The 23,015-nt window shown below is 45.6% G+C and overlaps 1 protein-coding gene across 2 annotated transcripts in view; it reads left to right on the top strand.

The window, feature by feature from the left end:
* COLEC12 (collectin subfamily member 12) overlaps positions 1–23,015 on the top strand; it is a 183,965-nt gene that overhangs the window by 156,221 nt on the left and 4,729 nt on the right. For both annotated transcript variants that reach the window (XM_011525741.3, NM_130386.3), the window contains 4 exons: positions 9,251–9,739; positions 11,338–11,474; positions 12,704–12,813; positions 22,674–22,819. In XM_011525741.3, the coding sequence (XP_011524043.1) occupies positions 9,251–9,739; positions 11,338–11,474; positions 12,704–12,813; positions 22,674–22,819 (882 nt within the window). The remainder of the gene's footprint in view (positions 1–9,250; positions 9,740–11,337; positions 11,475–12,703; positions 12,814–22,673; positions 22,820–23,015) is intronic.

The raw sequence follows: 23,015 nt of genomic DNA, 5'->3' as shown, positions 1-23,015 counted from the left end.
AATGATAGGGGCTAGAAACCACGTACTGTGAGGAAGGGTTGAGGACCTGGGAGCTTTCACCCCTAGGAGAGCCTGTTCAGTGGAGAACAAGACAGCCATCTGCACTTATTTAAAGTTGCTCTGTCTGAGGAATGCCACTGGGTGAAACAAGACTAGTGGGTGTTCACTAAGGGAAGATCAATTTTGGTTTTACAGAATGTTCCTCATAAAATGGGTATTAGCTGAAAATATAATGGCTCCCCTACTCAATCAGGATGCCCCAGCTCTGGAGGGGCTGGACAGTTGCAGGTCAGGGATATGGTAGGTGTGAGTCTTACTCTGAAAAAGGGGTAGCCCTTCAAATGATTTAAAAAAAAATTCTTAGACAATCTTATCATGGTATTCTGGATATTTTCTAGTTATTAATTTTATAGTTTTATTATTTCATTAATTTAATTGTTACCTTGTCTTCAGTTATTTAGTTTATAGACAGCGTGGCTTATCAGCCAAGTAAGGACATGAAAAGCTAGTATTTGAAGGTGAGACCCTGAGTGTTTAAGTTAATGTTTCTATTGTTAGGATTCTTTTATCAGCTAGTATTGAAAGTGAATGTACTGAGCACTTTTCACCAACGTCCCAATGAATCCTGACAGCAGCTCTATGAAGCAGCTACTTACAATGTCATCGCCAGTTTATAGACGAGGAAATTAAGGCTTAGAAGGTTTGAGTAACTTGCTGAGGTTTACACAAGTAAAAAGTAGCTCAGTGGAATCCGAGCCCAGGCCGTCTGGTGCCAAACCTGATGCCATTAACTCCAAGGATAGTCACCGAAAGTGTGTGCCCCTCCCTACGGTACCCGGTCACCCCAGAGAGAGCCTAGAAGGTCAGGGAGTTGGGATTTTATTCTAAGCGTGAGGGGGAGGTTTTAAGCAAGGTGTTGAGATGATCTGCTTTATATTTTCACAAGGTCACTCTGGGGGCTGCGAGGAGAATAGAGAGCAGGGAGGGGTCACCGAGAGCACGGACCAGCTGTTGGTGACTTGGCCTAGAATGCTGGCAGTGGAGAAGGGAGAAGTGGGTACCCTCATTCAGGAGGAGAGTTGGAGATAGAATCAAGGGCATCCCTTTCCTTGCCCTGACAACAGGGACCCCAGCTTTAGGAGGTCCCGGCCGGCCTCCCCCACCTGAGCCTTGCTGAGGTGAGGAGTCCTCGGCCTCAAGGTGCTGTGAGTATTCAGAGCCCACACCAACCCCTGCTTGTCCATGTTTGTGCCCAGGACCCTGGAATTCCCTACCCAATGTGCCCAGAAGCAAAGGGGCAGCCAAGAGGCACTTGTGTGTTGTAGGGATTGGGGGTGATGTAGACAGAAATTGAACACATGGTAGGGGGTTGGTGTGAGTGTCTGGACGAGACTGGCAGGCAGGACCTGCTGATGGATTGGCTGTGGGGAGTGAGTGAAAGAGAGGAACAGGATGTTTCCTAAGTCTCTAGCATGAGCAGTGAGGTGGATGGTGATACAGACTGGGGAGCTGCAGAAAAAGAGGCCCATGTAGACACGTTAACAGGATGATGTCTATTATAATAGAATGAGGTTTCCGACTCATGGAAAAGCATATGTGATAAAGAAAATCTCAATTCTGAAATCAGGCTCCAAGGTGTTTCAGAGACACTATCACATTTATCACTGGTCTTGTTGTTCACTGCACTTTCTGTGAGTTGATCTGAGAAGCTTCCCAAGCCAACCAAGCTGCTCCCTTTCTATTCATTCTATTCCACTGCCTCCAGACCAGCAATGCCCAGCAGGTATTCTAAGGGAACGAGAGACTGAGGGGAAGAAGGAACTCCATTTCTGAATGCAAGTGTTTTCTTCCACACCTTTTCTCTCTAGCACCTTTCCCTTTCTGTACATGCAGATCTCATCCCAGAGGATGAAGGGCAGATGGATAAAGCAGGATGGATTAACGTTGGCTTATGTGGGGCTGGCATCTGCAAGATTCAAAATAATCTGATGCTTTCCGGAAAATTCCTGTTGACTCGCACTTGATGAACCCCAGTGCTCACTGTCCAGTTCAGCCATATAGACATTTGCCGCATTAGGAATTGGGAGCTGAAGCTGACTGACTGTGCCGAAGGCAGATGATAGTGTAGAGATAGATGTTCACAGTATCTCTACATCCATCAACCAAGAAGCCTTGTTAAGAAAACCTTATTTTTTGGGAGTTTGCAACCAGCCTGACCAACATGGAGAAACCCCATCTCTACTTAAAAATATAAAATTAACCGGGCGTGGTGGCACATGCCCGTAATCCCAGCTACTTGGGAGGCTGAGGCAGGGGAATCACTTGAACCTGGGAGTTGGAGGTTGTGGTGAGCTGAGATCTCACCATTGCACTCTAGCCTGGGCAACAAGAGTGAAACTCCGTCTCAAGAAAAAAAAGAAAAAAGAAAACCTTATTTTTTGATAAAAATCATATAAAGATTTTTATTCTAATTATGTACACAGAAGACTTCTCACACATGCTTCTAGGTACAAAGATCACTCCACCTCCTGGGCTGTTCCTCTGCAAGCTAAGGAAAGCATCAGTTGCATCCTTCCTGTACAATCAGACATCTTCCCTCTCTGCTCTTCCGAGAGTCATCAGATTTAATGAGTGAGAACAAGAGCTCTGGAATCAGACAGAGCTGGATTCATGTACCAAGTTCCTCATCCTCTCAGTGCCTCTGTTTCCTCATCTGTGTGTACCTTTTAGAGTTATGAGGATCCAAAGATGTAATATAAAGAAAGTACTTAATGCAGTGTCTAGAGTGGGGTCAGCATAACACCCAAATGTAAATAAGGTCACTTCCTTCAAAGCTTTCCCTTCTGCTGCAGCTGTAGCCAGTACATTACAGTGGAAAACAAAACAGCTTCATATGCACAAAGAATAAAATCACACAGGTGGGGTTAAGGATGATTTGAGTCTAAAAGTGCTTACTGCTGGATTTCTAGTGCCCAGCCTTAGAGATGAATCAGACCCCAGGATGCTGACATCTAGCTAGCTTTCACTCATTTTCTCAGTCCACATTTCTGGGGTGTCTATGCTATGCCAATCACGCTGCTAAGCACTTGGATAAATTATCAGCTTTCATTGTTACAACTCTTTAAGGGAGGAGTTATTGACATTCCCCATTTGCGGGGGAGGGAACTGAGACGCAGAGAGCCTGAGTAACTTACCCAAGGCCAAACAACTAGTAAATGGCAGACAGTGCCAAACTCAGGTCTGTCTAGTTGCAAATTCATGCTTCCACCATGAATAGATGACATGTTTGGGGAGGTGGAAATGACAGAGAGTTTACTGACAGCAGAGCAATTGGTTAAAGTTTCAATAGGGATTGACATTTCAGCTGAAACTTGAAAGGTGCACATGAAGGTTGACGGGACAGGGGACAGTGCAATGTGGGTCAGGCAGGGGCCTCAGTTCCTCCCATTGCCAACCACTCCCTCATGCTACACTTCCCCAAACAAGACGGCATGACTGGAGATCCTGGAGAGCATCCATTAACAGGCTCAGAAGCAGACCATGGACAATTGGCAAGAAACAGTGGTTAAATACACCCTCCTCTGTGGACAAGGTGCTTCCAAGGCTTTCCAAAAGCCCAACTGTATTTCTTTTTAATCTGTACATTCCTTTTCACCTCAGTGAAGCGCAATGACTTTTTCCTATGGTAGGCATTTAATAAATATTTGATTAAGTGCATTCAAAGTAGATTTTTAAATGAGAAGAAAAACGTATCAGATTGTATCACTGTTTTTCCTCTACCTTGTCTATCTTCCAATCTTACCACCAGTGGGTCTTAACATTGAGTCTCTAAGATTTTGGATGGCAGTAAGAATTAAAGTGGTTTCTCTTCCTTTTGTTAAGCACCGGGAGTTTTGTTGGAAAACACATTTGAAACTTCTCTTGGGTAGGAAACTGGGCTGGGCACTTCTCAGGCCTACAGTTTGGTTTGCCAAAGCACAAACAGCACAGTGATTTAAAGTCTTCCATCCTCTTTGAACTGCTTATTTAGAAAATTCAGGTTTTCAAGGCTCCCAGAACCGTGGGCCTGGGGACCGTGGGGTAGAGGTGTCACTGACAGCACAAACCCCGGGCTGCTTGGAGCTCTGGTATTGTTCATATTCAGGCATCTCTGGAGCTTGTGACAGCTTTACCAGCCGCGTGGGTATCCTGGCATTTCAGAAACCCGAGCCAGTGAGCCACCCGTACTTGGCCTTGACATTGAGTTAAAATTTCAGTCAGTTTGAAAGCAAACCTCAAATGTCCTTCCACGTAGGACATCACATGTGTTTCCACATGCGGCGTTGCTGTTTTCTCAACTCTGAATTCAAGTTGTTGCTGCACAAGCTCATAAACACTCTGTTCTTTTTGTTTTTTTTTTTTTTTTTGCTTTCAGGCACTAAGGGTAGCTTCTATTTTATTTCATTATTTCATTTTATTTTCACCTTGACAGCTGCCCAATAAAAGATTCAAGTGCAACCTCAAAGCCTGAGATCATCCAGATGCTAATCAGCAGTGCCAGCATCCCGGGTCCTAGAGGAAAACCAACCCTGGCATTAATAATCTACTTTTTTATGAGGAGCCAGTATTGACTTTTTAAATGGCTTTAGCTCTTCTTCTCAATGATTTTTTTAAAGGAAAAAAAATCCAGGAAATTTCTAGCCTGTCTTAATGAGCCAAAGTAGATTATGTGAATCTCCTGATCTATAAGACACATAGAATATGTTTTGACCTAACCCAGCATCTGAGGGCAGAGAGTGCCAGCTCCTTTGTGGTTTTTGGAAGGCTGGGGCAGCTGTAATGGAAGACACCAATCACAGTGGGCTTGCCAGTTTAGCCACAGCCAGGAATATTAAGCCTTATCTGATTAAGAGAAAGACAGGTAACCTATTTAGGATAGATGTAGTACTTCGGATGGGGAAATTTGCTGGGAAGTCAATCACAAGTAGAACTGGAGATCTTTATCAACGGCAAAAACGTGCATTTCCCCCCGATATTTACTCCCTTCCTTCACAAGATCTGGAGATTAGCACCTGCTGAAATCTTGTGCTGTCTGTGGGATCCACGTTTGAGGTCATTCTTCACGTAAGCCACAACTTACACATTGACTGGGTGGGGAGATTCAATAGCCACTTCCAGTCCAGAGGAAAATAGCTGAACACCATAAACTACCCTACCCCAGAAAGAAATAGGATGAATGAAAAGCTGTCACCCCAGGTGAGGGAGGCCTTGGATTCATGTCAGGAGAGGAAGGGAGAGTTGTATCTTTGGAACTCTGTCACAAGCTAGAAGAAGGTGTTCTGGAAGAAATACAGCTCCCCCCACCAGCAGTCTGTCTGAGCAGACACAAGCCTGTGATCAGTCCCTCTTTCATGGTCACAGGTAAACTCATTTCCCATAACTTGCAAGGATAGCACCAACCCCAGATGTGAGTGATGGAGAAACACAAATTATCAGCAAAAAAAAAAAAAAAAAAAATTAAGACAATAAGGCTAAAGATTATTTCTTAAAACACTTGAATTTCCCAATATGCCATCTTCATTATTTGGATTTCCTAAAGTTCAACACAGAACATAAGTAAAACAGAAATAGTTGAGAAAAAAGTTTATTTTAATTTTGCAGTTACTCCACATACACTAGAATTTTTTGTTTTGTTTTGGCCTAAATTGTCAGTATTTTTTCCCTAGAACTATCCATAATGCTACGTCCATTGTGGCGGAACATACGTGACACCTTCACCACTATTCATCTCTGGGATGCTATTTCCCAACTACACAGAGGCACTAAGTTACTTTTTTAAAGGAGATAGATCTGGCAGCAAAAAGTCTACCTTCCCGATCTTTACTAAATGGCATAGGCTATTTAGGTGAGCCAGACCAGGTTAGGCAGAAAAAAAAGTCCAACTGTGGATGTGGAGACCCACTGGATTAATTCATGAGGGTCAGTAGCAAGGAAAGATGGATCTCCTTATGATTATTTCGTAGTGGCAGTCACAGCCCACCTGATACAGAGATTATAAGATGCGGGGCACCAGGCAGGTCACCCTTCCCCAAAAACCTGTCCCTACTGATCTCACCTGGGGCACAAATTGTGAGCGTTAGAGTGCTGGACTTTTTAACCATGATGCGCATGTATTTGATAAACACTTGCTTAATAGTGACTGTGAGCCAGACCCTACAAGGGGCTAGACATGGAGAAGGGTCTTGAGTAGAACAAACAAGGACTAAAAGATTAGAGAAGAAGAGAAAACTTCCATCTGAAGTGGCCTGGGAGGATGCCAGGAATTTTGCAGAAGGACATGGGCAGAGGAAATTGTCGGAGAAGAGATGTGTGGAAAATACAGAGGAGGATGGAATAAACACAGGCGAGACTAGGTTGGGAGGAGCCTTCATGCCAGACTGATCAGGTGGGGCTGCATATTCTTGAGCAAGTGGAGATCAGAGCTGGGCTTAAGGAAGACAAAAGTCAGAGTGGAATGAATGGAGAGGAATCACAGGTAGGAAGATCAATTAAGAAGTTACTGTGAACACCTTCCAAAAAAGACAGAGAGAGGTGGGAAGAAGAGAGCCCACACTAGGGTCATGACCAGGGTCAGGGCGAGGAAAAGAGGGTTGTGGCAATGTGGTGGGAGAAGGGATGATGGAAGGAGAACACGCACAGCAAAGAGACAAGAAGTTCAGCTGTAGACACGCAGGTTAGAGGTGCTGGCGGAACCTGAGAAAATGGACCCTTCACTAGCGGGTGCAAATAAGGACCCAGAGCCCAGGGTTGCTGAAGACAAGGAGGAGTCAACAGGAGCTGTGGGCAGAGGTCAGTGACATGGGTCTAGGTAGAAGTGAGTTCATCCCTAAGTCTTCTAAAGTCTCCCATTTATGGAGCAGATAACACTAGAAAGAATGCATTTAGGCCAGTCCTTGCCATTAGCGTAAACTCTCTTTACCACTGGAAGAGGGTCCTGCTTATAAATCTGTGAGCAAGATATGGGTAGCCTTACGTAAGCAAATTAAGTCCAGAGCCTAAGCTTCTGCTAAGAGAGAACACAGACGGATTGGCTTGACTGGGAGCCATGGATATTAGGGTACAGAAGACATCCATCAAGACCTGGGTTGGGAAGGAGACAGGGAGATCCCCCTACAGAGGTAGGAAGGTCCTGTCCTCAGACCAATGGGAGAGGGAGGCCAAGGAGCAGGAGGGATAAAGGAACTTAGGGTAGATCTGCCATCCATCCTCCATTGCTCCAGCACTTCTATCCTTCTAACTTTAGAGGCTTTCTGCTTCTGTAGAAAAAGTAAGGCCAGGCACAGTGGCTCACACCTGTAATCCCAGCACTTGGAGAGTCCGATGGGGGAGGATCGCTTGAAGCCAGGAATTCGAGGTCAGCCTTGGCAACACAGTGAGAGCCCTATCTCTACAAAAACATTAAAAATTAAAAAAAAAAAAAGCAGGCAATGTGGCACAAGCCTCTAGTCCCAGCTACATGGGAGGAAGCTGAGGTTGGAGGATTGCTTCAGCCCAAGAGTGCAAAGTTGCAGTGAGCTATGATCATGCCACTCTCCTCCAGCCTGGGTGACAGAGTGAGACTGTCTCTAAAAAAAAAGAGTGAGACTCTGTCTCTAAAAAAAGAGAGAGAGAGATTAAGTGTGGCCTTTTACTTATTCATGCAGAATTGTGAGATTTCAGAAACTCTAAGATTCATTCATTTCAACATCAGAAGACCTGAGTTCATGCCCCAGCTCCACTACTAGATTGTGACTGACCATGTCTTACTCTCCTTGGTATCTGTTCCTAGTAGCTAAGTATCCTCGAACAAATAGTTTGGCATCTCTGGCCCTACATGTCCTCATTTATGCAATGAGAATTCTACCGCACAGGCAAGGTCAGGTGGCATAATGTATGTGAAAGTACCCTGAAAATTGTCATTCACTATACAGTTCCTGGTAGGAGATTATTTGTGTGAAATTTCCTGTTACCCCTGAGAAATTAAAGAAAGAAAAACAATCCTGTGTTACATGGGCCTCTTTGTGGGATAATGGGGATGAGCAGTATTCGCTTTTCTTCCCAATTAGATGGTCCACATACCTTTTTTCTCTAGCCTACCTTCCTTATGTGTATTATTAGACTTACAAACCCACCCAGAGAGTTTGGACACCTGTCCACAATGGGCAGCAAAGTCCCACCAGGCTTTCCCACAGAGACCTCCCGTCCCTCTGAGCTGGCCCATGGGTGAGTGAGGCCCAGCCCTAAGGACAGCAGCACCCCCACAGCTTTGGTGGACAGCACAGGCATGCCAGCTGGGGTACAACAGAGAGGAAGCTTACAGGGAAGTTATAGGCTTGGTTATGGGGAGAGAATTAATACATCAATCTCCTTCAGTTCTTTATCCCACAATACCTTAACACGGTGCTTGTCATATAAGCCTTTAATAAATATTTACCAAATTAAGGACAAGAGGAAATAAGTAAGAGGAAATCCTGATCCTGGTCTACACAACTTTCCTGCTGATGACAACACAGGCCCAGGTGACTAAGAGAACCCAGTTTAATCATGTGAGTCACTGTGAAGAATAAGCCCCTGGCTGTCAGTGTCACCATGAAGGACATCAGTGGGGCACTAAAACGTTGTGCACTGTTACAATACATTCTAAAAGCTTGAAGAAGAAGGGTGAGCTTACTGAAGAACACACAGTATATTGGCTTGCTTGGGCTGCCATATACACAGTACACAGTACACGGACTGGGAGGCTTAAACAACAGACATTTCTTTCCTTACGGTTCTGGAGGCCGCAAGTCCAAGATCAAGGTGTCAGCAGTGTTGTTTCCTCCGAGGCCTCCCTCCTTGGTTTGCAGGAGTCCATCTTCTCCCTGTGCCCTCAAGCGATCTTTCCTCTATGTGTCTGTGACCTAATCCCCTCTTCTTTAAGTACACCAGTCCTATTGGATTAGGGTCACTCATGTCACCTCGTTTTAACTCGATGACCTCTGTAAAGGCCGTGTCTCTTAATAAGTCCCATCCTGAGGTGCTGGGGGTTAGGACTTCAGCATAAGAATTTGGAGGAGGACATAATTTAGCCCATAACAGTCTACAGTAGTATGATAAACAGATGGTCTTTCCCTGCTGTATATACTTTGTATGCTAGGTTTTTTTAATTTGGAGATTTTATAAGAAGAAAAATTATTCATAACTATCATTCACAGTGGATTTCATGTTGACACCTTTTTCTTTTATGCTTTAGGTCCACCGGGCCCCAGGGGTCCAAGAGGTGACAGAGGATCCCAGGGACCCCCTGGCCCAACTGGCAACAAGGGACAGAAAGGAGAGAAGGGGGAGCCTGGACCACCTGGCCCTGCGGGTGAGAGAGGCCCAATTGGACCAGCTGGTCCCCCCGGAGAGCGTGGCGGCAAAGGATCTAAAGGCTCCCAGGGCCCCAAAGGCTCCCGTGGTTCCCCTGGGAAGCCCGGCCCTCAGGGCTCCAGTGGGGACCCAGGCCCCCCGGGCCCACCAGGCAAAGAGGGACTCCCCGGCCCTCAGGGCCCTCCTGGCTTCCAGGGACTTCAGGGCACCGTTGGGGAGCCTGGGGTGCCTGGACCTCGGGGACTGCCAGGCTTGCCTGGGGTACCAGGCATGCCAGGCCCCAAGGGCCCCCCCGGCCCTCCTGGCCCATCAGGAGCGGTGGTGCCCCTGGCCCTGCAGAATGAGCCAACCCCAGCACCGGAGGACAATGGTAAGTCCAAGCCCTCCCTCCAGCCAGGGGGACAGGGCAGTGCATGTGCTTGAGACTGAGCCAACCCCCAGTGTGTGGCCCCACCCATGTTATTTTTGTTTTTGTTTTTGTTTTGAGACAGGGTCTCACTCTGTTGCCCAGGCTGGAGTGCAGTGGCGTGATCTCGGCTCACTGCAACCTCCACATCCCGGGTTCAAGTGATTCTCCTGCCTTAGCCTCCCAGGTAGCTGGGACTACAAGCGTGTGCCCCCACAGCCAGCTAATTTTTGTATTTTTAGTAGAGAGGGGGTTTCACCGTGTTGGCCAGGCTGGTCTCAAACTCCTGGCCTCAAGTGATCCACCTACCTTAGTCTCCCAAAGTGCTGGGATTACAGGTGTGAGCCACCACGTCTTGTCCCCCGCTGCATATTATTTAACAGCAAAGGCATCATAGGGGCTGGCACAGGAGCCCTGCTGCCAGAACAGGCCTCCATACCAGGCATGTGTTTCTCTCTAAACGCCATTGGGTTCTCTAGTGCTCATTTGTTTTATGTATTATGTGTGTATGTATGGGACAGGGTCTCACTCTGTCACCCAGGCTGGAATGACGAAGTGAAGTAGTGCAAACATAGCTCACTGCAGCTTTGACCTCCTGGGCTTAGGTGATCTTCCCACTCAGACTCCTGCGTAGCTGGGACCACAGGGGTATGCCACCACACCTGGCTAATTTTTTATTTTCCTTTTTGTAGAGACAGGGTCTTGCTATGTTGCCCAGGCTGGTCTTGAACTCCTGGCCTCAAGCAACCCTCCTGCCTCAGTCTTGCAAAGTGCTGGGATTCCAGGTGGGAGCCACTGCACCTGGCTCTTGCACTTGTTTATTTATAGGAGCCAGCCCTCAGAAGACAAACACAATGCAAAACATTTCCTTCAGGGAAGCCTGCTGGCCGCCCTGAGCGCTCTTCCCTCGTTTTACATCCTCACTCTGGAGATAGATGGGCTCCCTCGGTTAGCTCCATCAACATGTGGATGGAACCCTCTGCTATTGATGACTACATTTAATTTCTTTTTGAGAAAGGTGTTAGATGTTACGGTGCCTTCTAGTCTTTTGATAATTAAACCTTTGGCAAAACTCGAATGTTTGGTTAGCAACCAAGCCTATTTTTCTCTCCTTTGACCCAACCGCTATTCTACTTGATTTTGGTCGGTGAGGCCCGGGTTATTTTTGTTGATCCGTGAGCCCAGTTTTGGTGCTGGGTTCTCACATCCAAGTGTTCCTGGGTTCCGTATGATTCCAGACTGACGCTGAACATCTGTGCCTGCCCTGCTTCTTGTTGTTGCTTCTGTTATTTCTGTCATTGTGAAGACGGATCCAGACACAGAAGAACAAAGACCCAGTCAAAGATCTTTTCCAGATTATGTGGTTTTGGCTTGTGCTCTGCAGTCCACTTTGGGTCATGCTTGCTGCGAGCACGTCCGTGAACGTCAGCTGTGGGCCTCGTGCAGGGACGCTCAGGCTGCTCCCAGCGGGACCACAGTTTTGGCCTCTGAAACACAGCTGAAGAAAGGCAGAGTGCTTTCTGTGATCTTTTAATCAATGTTTTCCACTTTTGCATTCCTAGGCTGCCCGCCTCACTGGAAGAACTTCACAGACAAATGCTACTATTTTTCAGTTGAGAAAGAAATTTTTGAGGATGCAAAGCTTTTCTGTGAAGACAAGTCTTCACATCTTGTTTTCATAAACACTAGAGAGGAACAGGTATGCCTGCCACATACTTGGTTGGGGAAAACTATAATTTAAGGATAGTTTACATCTGGAAATTGCAGGCTTGTTGGGGATTCAGAGATATCACGAATTCCTAGTCACGTAAACATGGGAGGCAACATTACAGAGATTTGGGTTTCATCCAGTGGCTAGAAGCATTCGTGGCATTGGAATTGTATCTTCATGATTCTTCCTGGAAGATATTGCCTATCAAGCCTGGAGATGTGTGGCTCCTTCTGGTGGCTGTTGAAATAATTATAATGCAGAGAAGCTTGAGGGCTGCCACCAGGCACCTGTGGGGACAGAGAGAGGCATGAACACTGTAGGGATGGAGTGGGGTGCAAGGGACCACGCATGGCTCCAGAGGAGTCAGGAAGAGCGAAGAAGGCTGAGGAGGCAGAGCCCACGCATGCTAATGCTAGTGTCCACTCATTAGACCCTCTATATGCCAGGCACCGTGAGAGGCATTTGCTCCCTTGAACCTCACAGCAACCCTAGAACATAGGTATTATTATTACCCTCATTTGACGGCTAGGAAAACTGAGGCCCGGCAAGGTTTATGCAGACTGAGACCAAAACTGCAGCCCATCTAGCAACAATGCAGCGCTTTCTTTGATACCACACCAATTCCAGTGGCCTCCTCCCTTCTCCCTAAGTTATCTCCAGCAGACACAATCCTGTAAACAGATGTTTCCTGTAGTAACTGACTGGAATGAGCACACGGCAGACAGTGACCAAGCACCTGGGCTTTAGAATACACAGACCAGGGCCCAAGCCCAGCTCAGCTACTTCTCATGTTTGTTCAGTGGGTTGTTATAAAAGCTTGGAGACACACTGCGTGCAACACACTGCACGTGGGGCCCAGCCCAGAGGAAGTGCCCAAGAATATCATGACTATTCCTATGATTAGGACATGGGAGAAATGGGTGGGTGGTAGGAGGAAGTGGGACCAATGGACATTCACTGGGTTGTCTGAGTGATTTAGAGGAAGAGCCTCACTTTAACATCCGTTGTAAACTTGTAAGAGGAAAAAAGTCAAAGCCCCCCAAACAGCACAAAACAAAGCAAGTAGCAAGAAAAAAGCAGAAAGCAAAAGCAGGCTACACATTCTGACAACCATCCTCTTTTAAATTGTCCTTTTTTCTAAATGTTAAATAAAAGAAAAAGGCCTGAGACATCTGTTCTGAAAAATAGTCACGCACCACCCCTGCTTTGTTTTTCAGCAATGGATAAAAAAACAGATGGTAGGGAGAGAGAGCCACTGGATCGGCCTCACAGACTCAGAGCGTGAAAATGAATGGAAGTGGCTGGATGGGACATCTCCAGACTACAAGTAAGTACTCAGAAGCTTCCAGATTGGTGGTCAGGCTCTCACTGTTCTGTTGTCACTTCTTGCCCGACTCCCAACAGTTTCTTCCTTAATGACCTCGTGTCCTAGACGCTCCTCCCAAACCGGGGCTCCTGGTACCAGTTGCATATTTCCCCTGGGGAAATCGTGGTTGACAGTTGATACGCTGTCAAATAAGGCTTTCCTTTCTTCTTTTCATGGAGTGAATTTTTTTTCATTTCTAAGAAAAAAATCATGAAACTCATAAAACCACACAGCATAATACTTCTGGCCAAGTCATTTTCTTTAAATGCTATGGGAAAAGATGATGAAGCCCAGGCAACCTCAGGCATGTTCAGCGTTCGCCCCAGGCGTGTTTCCAAGGACTGGGGAGCTCCCTTCAGGATCACACTGTGGGTGCCCCTGACCCCTAGTTGGGCTTCTAGGCAGAGTGTGATTAGAAACTACAAATGAGTAATTTTCCTGGCTGGGCACAGTGGCTCACGCCTGTAATCCCGGCACTTTGGGAGGCTGAGGTGTGCGGATCACTTGAAGTCTGGAGTTCGAGACCAGCCTGGCCAACATGGTGAAACCTCGTCTCTACTAAAAAAACAAAAAAAACAAAAATTAGCCGGATATGGTGGCGCATGCGGGTGATGCCAGCTACTCGGGAGGCTGAGGCAGAAGAATTGCTTAAACCCAGGAGGCGGAGGTTGTAGCAAGCCGAGATGGCGCCACTGCACTCCAGCCTGGGCCACAGAGCAAGACTCTATCTCAAAAAAGAAAAAAAAAAAAAAAAACTACAAATGTGTGATTTTCCTACTCATAGTAAGTTAAAATACACTATAAACAAAGTTGCATTTGCGGGATAACCATCCCCTAGAGGTTTGAAGATTCCCCATAAGTTCCATGTGACCTAAGTTCTATGAAAGGAGCAACAAAGAATAGAATCACTTTGAGGTACCTTCTTGGATAACCTAGAAGTCTCCAGGGCCTCATCCTACCCTAGGGGGTGTTAGCTCCTTCCCTAATTCTACCCAAAGATCTAACAATGACTGTATTGCATCAGTTTGATTATCACATCTCCATACTCTGGCTTTGCCTCTGACGGGTGTGAAAATTGCAAGGAACTGTAACAAATGAAGCAGAATTTATAAAAAAAATAAAATTAAAAAAAAAAAAAACCCTCTGAGTAACCTTTAGTTTGCTGGGGACGGAGAGGCCAGACCCTGCAGGGCTCCACCAGGCACAGGAGCATCACCGCATTGGAAGCACCTTCTGAGAGCACTAGGCAAAGTCCACGGTGTGGCCTCTGGGGCTGTCCCAGGAGAGGAGAAAACAAGGGTGTTTCAGGCCTAAGAGAGTCTCATGGGCATGGAGGCCTAGCCCTGTATCAGCTGAGCAGCAGGGAGGAGGGTCAGAGGTGATGGAGAAGCCAGATCGAGTTTTTTAAATGTCCCTATGTGCGTGTGCATGTGCATTTGGATAAACAGGCTCTTTTGTACTTTCAAATTCTCCATGTGAGTAGGATCAGAGGATAAAGGAGGAAACCAGAATAAGGCCATCTCTCTTTTGTTTTTATTTGTTTGTTTTTAAGGGACAAGGTCTCACTCTGTTGCCCAGGCTGAAGGGCAGTGGCACGATCATGGCTCACTGCAGCCTCTTATCTCCCCAGCTCAAGCGATCCTCCCACCTCAGACTCCCAAGTCCCTGGAATCACAGGTGCACATCACCACACCCGGCTAATTTTTAAAGTTTTTGGATAGACGTGGTCCACTATGTTGCTCTGGTTGGTCTCAAACTCCTAGCCTCAAGTGATCCTCCCACCTTGGCCTCGCAAAGCACTGGGATCAGAGGTATGAGCCACCGCACCTAGCCAGGCCAGCTCTTTATAAAAAATAAACATGTGGCGAAATATTGATTTGGAACATTAGAAGATTTTAGGTCTGCTCTGAAGGTGAGCCTCAGACTGCCCTTAAGGGCAAGTGGATATCTGCTGCAGGCCTGTCAGAGACTCGTCGGCTCCTCTGCGCCTGTCCTGGGGAGAGGAAGGGGTACCCCCTGGCATAATCTGGCACTTGAGACTTTGCCTGATGAGCCAAGGAAAGTGCCCAACACAGCAGGGACACACTTTAGGAGACTCAAAACAGTTGCAGGAATCACCATCTAAAACAGTAGCTGTAGAAGGTTGGAGCTGGGGATGGGATGGGAGACAGAGACTGTTTTTTAAAAAAGACAAAATTCTGCTTTTTTGACAGCCAAGAGCGCCGGGGTCTTTTTTTTAAGAGAGTTGGGAGAAGCTGAAACAAAAAATCATCTTCTCCACATTTTTCACTGCCGTAAATGCACAAAGGTCTGGGTTAGACTCACTAAGAAATTCAATCTTAAGCCTTTCCCCAAGAAAAAAACTGGATTGGCCCATATGGAATGGATTGAGCTGGAACATTACTGTCTATGCCAGCTCTCCCAATGTGAAATTTTTCTCCTCTTCCCTGGGGTCCAGCAAGAATTACATGATCTGGATGGAGCGCACCCGCTTGGTACCCAGGACCTGAGAAGAATGACGTCACCAGACACCTTACTGGGCACCCAGTCCCCAACCACAGCCATTTTGGAGCCTCCCAAATCCTCAGCTTCTGCACCCCAGCCACCACACAGGCTGTGCTTCTCGTTTTCCACCCAAAGGAATACATAGGAACATAAAAATCCCCAGGATCAAATTTTAAAAGCAAGAATAAGTTAGACAGGCGTGTTATGAGGTCTCAATAACCAAAGGCTAATTTAATTTGACATGTAATAATAAACATTGCACAAACTAGAAAGAAAGCCAGTGCAGCCGAGGGAGGGAGTGCATCAGCTAGATGCTAGAGGGATCTAGCATCAGCAAGATCGGGGTTCTGGGCCTTGACCCAGCAACACTCAAAGCTGCAAGGCCTCGTGTGAGTTGCTCAACTCTGCAAAACCTCCATGTCCCCATTTATAAGATGAATTTTCCAAAATACCTATGTCAGTATTGTGAAAATAAAGTGTGATAGCTGTATGCAAAGCATTTAGTCGAGGGCTTGGCACATAGGAAGTGCTCAAGAAATAGTACCTGCTGGTATTGGTATATTATTGCTATTATCATCATAATTATTATCATATTAGTTAGCAGTTGCAGATAAATACTACATAGAATGTATATATTTTACAGTATCCTGATTGGGATGTCCACACAGTGTCTCACTCAAGTCCCACAACAGGTGTGTGAAGAAGACAAGAAAAACGTTCTCTGCATGGCCTGGGAATGGGGACTGGGCTTCAGGCTCTCAAGGGTCTCCTACCAGCATAAACCGCCCCAAATATGTCTCCTCCTAGTCAGACTCACTTTTACTCTCCTTGTCTTTGCATCTGTGGCCTCCAAGGATTGGCCCATCCACCTCCCTTTCCCCTGCCGCCAGCAGTGATTTCTGGAACAGATCATCGCAGGAGACGATTATGAACAATTATTCACCAACAAATTGGATGACCTAGAAGAATGGATAAATTCCTAGAAACCTACAGCCTACCAAGACTGGATCCAGAAGAAATAGAAAGCGTAGGCTGAGGTGGGAGTATCATTTGAGGCCAGGAGTTCAAGACCAGCCTGAGCAATAGAGCAAGACCCCATCTCTTAAAAAAACGAGGAAAAAAAAAGGAAGAAATAGCCTGGCCAGCCTAATAACAAAGAAGGAGATTGAAGTAGCAATCAGAAACCTCCCAGAAAGATAAGCCCAGGACCAGATGGCTTCACAGCCAAATTCTACCAAACATTCAAAGAAGAGTTAGCACCAGTTCTTCTTAAACTCTTCCAAAAAATAGAAGCCGATGGGCCTGGCACCGTCCCATCCCTTGCCCAGGCTAGGAAGAATTAAGTACCACTGCTTTCCCCTTATTCTTTTCTCCCAACACGCGTGAAATCCTTTTAAAACAGTTTGCAGGTTTTGTGGTTACTGTTAAAGAGCAAATAGACGAGGGATAAAAGGCTCTCTCCTCTGCGTCTCGGCCTCACCTCATTTTTCATGCTGAGACCTGGTTGAGAAAGAGAGTGCTGGAACAGACAGAAGGCAATAGTGACATGGAACAGAAGCCAAAGGCTTAGGGGACACACAGATTGAGCTCAGGCTTATTTCCCATGAAACACTCAACCTGACTTGCTGAATCTTATGGCTCTTTCTGCACCGCAGCAGGACAGGACCAGCTGAGGGGAAAGGGTGGCGTGAGATGCCACCTGCAATGGCCCGGACAGTTCCAAGGATGGGTCCCCAGATGCTTTGGATCCACACACCAATACAATTTCAAAAGAAAGACTGGCAGGGCCAACACAGATCAGCAGGATTTTATTTGCCAATTAAGGACAAGGCTTTTAGAAAGTACCAATCAGCAAATCTCAGCATTAAAAAAAATAATAATAAACCTATAATTATTTCCAAGAAGAGATGGCTGGCCATCTTACATTCACACACACACACATTGTCCTTATTCTTCTCATTTCACCAGGTCCTGTGAAAACTTCATTCTTGGCCAACACCCAGCCCCTGACTGGAGATTAGAGTCCATTGGCCCACAGTCTCATGATAACATTTGATGGATTATCTTGAAGTGTCTGCCATGAGCCAGCCTCTGTGCTGGCCTGCAGGATCTTTTCTGGAGTGTGGGGGCAGCAGTATGAGTGAGCAGTCGTCATTGGGATCATGTTTTAAAAAGGCAGGTTTCCAGGGCCATGTCACAGTCAATAGAACATAGCAACCCTAACTGTGGATACAGCAAAGAACAGGCCTTCAAAGGAGATTTCAACATTCCCCTCTCAATTACTGATGGAAAAATTGATAGGGATATAGTAGACACAATCAACTGACTTGACTTAATTGATATTTGTGGGATGTTTTACCCAACATCTGCAAATACATATTCTTTTCAGGTGCATGTGGTACATTCACCAAGATGAACTATATTCTGGGCCATAAAATACGTCTCAATAAATTTAAAAAAAAGCCAAAACTATCAGGCCAGGCATGGTGGCTCACGCCTGTAATCCCAACACTTTGGGGGGCCAAGGCAGGTGGATCACCTGAGGCCAAGAGTTCGAGACCATCCAGGCCGACATGGTGAAACCCCGTCTCTACTAAAAGTAAAAGACATTAGCCAGGTGTGGTGGCGGATGCCTGTAATCCCAGCTACTCGGGAGGCTGAGGCAGGAGAATTGCTTGGACCCGGGAGGTGGAGGTTGCAGTGAGCTGACATCGCACCACAGCACTCCAGCCTGGGTGACAGAGCGAGACTCCATCTCAAAAAAAACAAAAACAAAAAGGAACTAGAACTATATAGAGTATGTTTTCTGACCAAAATAATTAAATTAGACATAGATAGAAAAATGTCTGTAAAATCCCAATTATTTTAAACCACACATTTCTAAATAACCCATGGGTCAAAGAGAAAAATCACAAAGGAAATCTGAAAATGTTTCAAAGAAGATGAAAACATATCAAGATCTGTGGGATGCAGCTAAAATAGTATTTAGAAAGGGACACTTATAGTTTTAAATTACATATATTAGAAACCTTGTTTAAAGGTTGAAAATCAATGATCTAAGCTTCCACTTTACCAGGGTAGAAAAAGAAGAACAAATTAATCCCTAAGTAAGTCAAAGGAAGGAAAGCAGTGAAATAGAAAGACCAACAGTAGAAAGGATCTATAAAACCAGGAACATGTCAAAGTTGATCTTTTCCTTTGGGAGGCGAAGGCGGGAGGATTGCTTGAGCCTAGGAGTTCGAGACCGGCCTGAGCAACATAGCAAGACCCCATCTCTACAAAAAACTTAAAAATTAGCTGGGTGTGCTGGTGTGCATCTGTGGTCCCAGGTATTCAGGAAGCTGAGGTGAGAGGATCACTTGAGCTTGGGAGGTTGAGGCTGCAGTGAGCTGTGATGACACCTCTGCATTCCAGCCTTGGCTTTTTTTCTTTTTTCTTTTTTCCGAGACAGAACAAGACTCTGTCTCAAAAAAAAAAAAAAAAAAAAAAAAAAAAAGGCTGATCCTTTTACTCTTGGTGTAATGAGTATAGGTGTAAGCATGTGATTGGGAGACTGTCATTGTTAATGGAGGCTGCCTGCTAGACCTGCGGGAGCCGGACACATACGGGACCTGGGTACTTGCCCACCTGCTCAGAGCAGAATGCTAAGGGAGGTTGTTAAGGCCTCTCTTGCCTACCCTGCTTGCAGTTGCCCACCTTAGATCACCAGAGATGTGACAGTCTTCCTGAGAATCTCCCCAAACGCACTAGAAGCTCTTCTGTTCCTCTGTCCACGGGACCTCATTTGGTGGGAGTGTGCTGTCACACTACGAGTCACAGCTTTCATCTTGGCATCACAAAGATAAAATGTGGTGCCTTTCTGTCTATGCAGACTGCTCCGTATAATATCATACATTGTGTTTTCAGTTTTTTGTGTTTTATTTTTTATTTTTTAAGATGGTCTCATTCTGTTGTCCAGGCTGGAGTGCAGTGGCACAATCACAGCTCACTGCAGCCTCAACCTCCGAGGCTCAAGTGATCCTCCTACTTTAGTCTCCTGAGTAGCTGGGACTTCTGGCATCAGCTACCATACCTGGCTAATTTATTTTAAATTTTTTATAGAGATGGTGGTCTCACTGTGTTGCCCAGGCAGGTCTTGAACTCCTGGCCTCGAGTGATCCTCCTGCCTTAGCCTCCTGAAGTGCTGGGATTACAGTGTGAGCCACTGCGCTAGGCTGAATTAGAAGATGTTAAAGGTTCTGTTCCAGGCTCTTTCATTCTATGGTCCTATATTCTAAATCCTATTTTTTTCTTTTGAGATGGAGACTCGCTTTGTCACCCAGGATGGAGTACAGTGGCATGATCTTGGGTCACTACAACCTTCACCTCCTGGCTTCAAGCGATTCTCGTGCCTCAGACTCCTGAGTAGCTGGGACTCCGGGCACCTGCCACCAGGCCCGGCTAATTTTTGTATTTTTAGTAGAGATGGGGTTTCGCCATGTTGGCCAGACTGGTCTTGAACTCCTGACCTCAGGTGATCCACCCACCTCGGCCTCCCAAAGTGCTGGGATTACAGGTGTGAGCCACCATGCCCAGCCTCTAAATCCTATTCTAAGTATCTTATATTTAGATATATATATTTGATGTGTGTGTGTGTGTTTCCAGCTTACTGGAGCAATCAGTCCAAGCATTTCCAAGATTCCTGGTGTTTTCAGAGTGTGATGTCCAAGTATATGTATGTGCTGCTACCGCTCACTTCTGTGACATGTGTATGATAATGTAGAATTCAGGGCTTTGAGCCCCAGACTTCAGCCATTCATCTTGCCAGAATCTACCTGTGAATGAGGTTAAGCACTATTTAAGCTGACATTCTTCTCCAAAATATATACATTTTGCTTATTTGACACGTTACGTTCTATATTATTATAAACATGCAGACTGAGGGGTTTTGCCACAAATCACTCCATGTGATTTTAGCTTTGCCAAAGAGATGCTTTGAGACTCTGGGTGGTCAGCCCACAGAATAAATTGTCCCTTCAGTCTGGCTTCAGGCTACCCACTTTCCACCCATTCTGGCCTACTGCAGTCACCTCCGCTTATGGCCACAGAACTGCATTCTGCTTTTAGTCCTAAGGAAAGCCTTGAGTACTGTATGTGAAGAATTCCAGTGACCTGGAAAAACAAATGGAGAAAGGCGATAAAGATTATCTCCTTTCTTATCACTCAGTTATTTCTCTGCCTGGTTGATACATCCTTTTTATTTATTTAACTTAAAATGACTTAAAAGGAAACGCAAGGGGAAAATATTAAGCAGGACTTCTAAGCCCAAAGAAGTCATATTTATATAATTTCCCAATTAACTGAGAAGTCAAGAATATCAAATATCCTATCATTATACATTCAGGAATCATAGATCTCAAATTTTATAAACAAAAATGGAATCAAACCCCCCATATTACTGGCAGAAATGAACGAAATGTATGTCCACAAGATTAAACTGCTCAGGCATTGTTGACATCTCCAGAAGAATCTCACAAGGTGAAAAGAGTTACACAAAAAACCAAATGTGAAAGTAAACTACTTTTCTTTCCAACTTCATCTCTATCTGGCGTCAGGCTGAGATTGTCACAGGCTGAGATTTTGAACTCATTGTGACTCATCTGTTATGTAAGCTGTAAGAGTTGGGACTTTGTCTCTTCTCTGCACTGCTATGTTGCCATCACCCAGATGATACCTGGCTCATAGCAGGAGTGCTATGGATGCCTGGTGTGAGTGAGTGAGTGAGACTATTTTCTAACTCTCCCTTCTAAGTAGCATCCCATTTTTACTCTCACCAATCGATGGTTTCCTCTGAATTCTCTTTCATCACTAGGTTTATTTAATTGAGGCCACTCAATGTATATATATATATGTATTTTTGAGATGGAGCCTCGCTCTGTCACCCAGGCTGGAGTGCAGTGGCATGATCTTGGCTCACTGCAAACCTCCACCTCCTGGATTCAAGCAATTCTCCTGCTTCAGCCTCCCAAGTAGCTGGGACTACAGGTGCCTGCCACCATGCCCAGCTAATTTTTGTATTTTTAGTAGAGACAGGGTTTCGCCATGTTGGCCAGGCTGGTCTCGAACTCCTGACCTCAGGTGATCCATCTGCCTCAGCCCCCCAAAACGCTGGGATTACAGGCATGAGCCACTACGCCCGGCCTTCATACTCATTTTTTTTAAATCCCAAAATACACATTTGGTGTGGGGGAGTCAGTTCTACCCTGTCCCCACCCTTTGACTAAACTTCAACTGTCCTTTCCCGCTGCCTCTGGTTTTGCGGGTGTTATTGTCCAAAGATACAGGGCCATACAGGCTGTCTCCTCGGGTGACCCGAGGACACCCTGTGGCCAGTGCGGTAATGAGTCATTGTTTATAGGAAGCACCCTCCGCTGCAGATGTTCTTCCAGACCCTCCACATGAGGCAGGCTTGTCCTCTCAGGCAGCAGCCACAAGCTTCTGTGCATGAATCTGCTTCTTAGACAAGATTGAACCTTCAAGGGGTGAGTCTGGAAGCACACCTGATTTATTCGTGGAAACGTAATCAAGAACTGTTATCCATGGCAAGGTGCTGTTCTGAGCAGCAGCATCCAAGTTAAGAAGCCCCATGTGAACTCATCCTAAAGAAAACTTGTTTTTAAGAATCTCTCTCCCAAAAAAGGGAGTGAAATGTAGGAGTCATTTTCAGTAAGATTAAGTTACTATTTCTTTCTAAAGCAATCAACCTTCTACAACTCACCCAGACAATCATAACCAGTTATTTGTAATTGTAGGTTCTTGTAAATGTATATCAAAAGTCTTTCACTTTCTCTTCCTGGCTCTTGGACTTGTTAGAGGCAAGATATTGAAATGTACAAGGTCCCTCTGGGTTCTCACAAGATCATGTGTGCGTGTGTGTGTGTGTGTGTGTGTATCATGTCCTCATAATGAATAGATATTCACACACATATATACACTCATGCCCAGAAGTCAGCATTCCAGTACACATTAGAAAGTTATTCATCTAACTGTCCCAAAGCAAGATTCGCTCCCTCTGCATTCTGATGAACCAGCCTAGTGAGTTTGGTTCATGGTAGCAAAGATCACAAGCGCGCAGGGAGATGCCGCATTATGCATTACTCTGCAAAACAGCTGCTCCTTTCTCTGAATAAGAGCATGTACTGATTTTTAAACTGCATTTTCATTCCAGGATAAATGACATGCTTCAATTTTGTTTTTTTATATTCTCTGCTGCTCTTGAGTAAAGAAAAGCTCTGCATTACTGTGCAAATAACATTCAATTTCTGTTTTGCTAAAAGAAATTGGAAAGCTGGACAGCCGGATAACTGGGGTCATGGCCATGGGCCAGGAGAAGACTGTGCTGGGTTGATTTATGCTGGGCAGTGGAACGATTTCCAATGTGAAGACGTCAATAACTTCATTTGCGAAAAAGACAGGGAGACAGGTGAGCAGTAGATGGGATTTAAGAGGGAGCTGCCAGCTTATGTCCTATGAAAGGGTGAGGGGTGGTGAGTACAAGGGCCCTGAATGCAGGCACTGCAATTAGGTTTCAGCCCTGGTTATGCCATTTATTAACTGGGCAGGTGATTAACCTCAGGGAAATAGTAATAGCATCTTCTTCACGAGGTTGTGAAGATTTA

Source organism: Homo sapiens, chromosome 18, assembly GCF_000001405.40.
Source record: "Homo sapiens chromosome 18, GRCh38.p14 Primary Assembly".
In the NCBI taxonomy this organism is placed as follows: Eukaryota; Metazoa; Chordata; class Mammalia; order Primates; family Hominidae; genus Homo; species Homo sapiens.
Note: the sequence above shows the minus strand (reverse complement) of the source record. Positions and strands in the feature narration are given on the sequence as shown.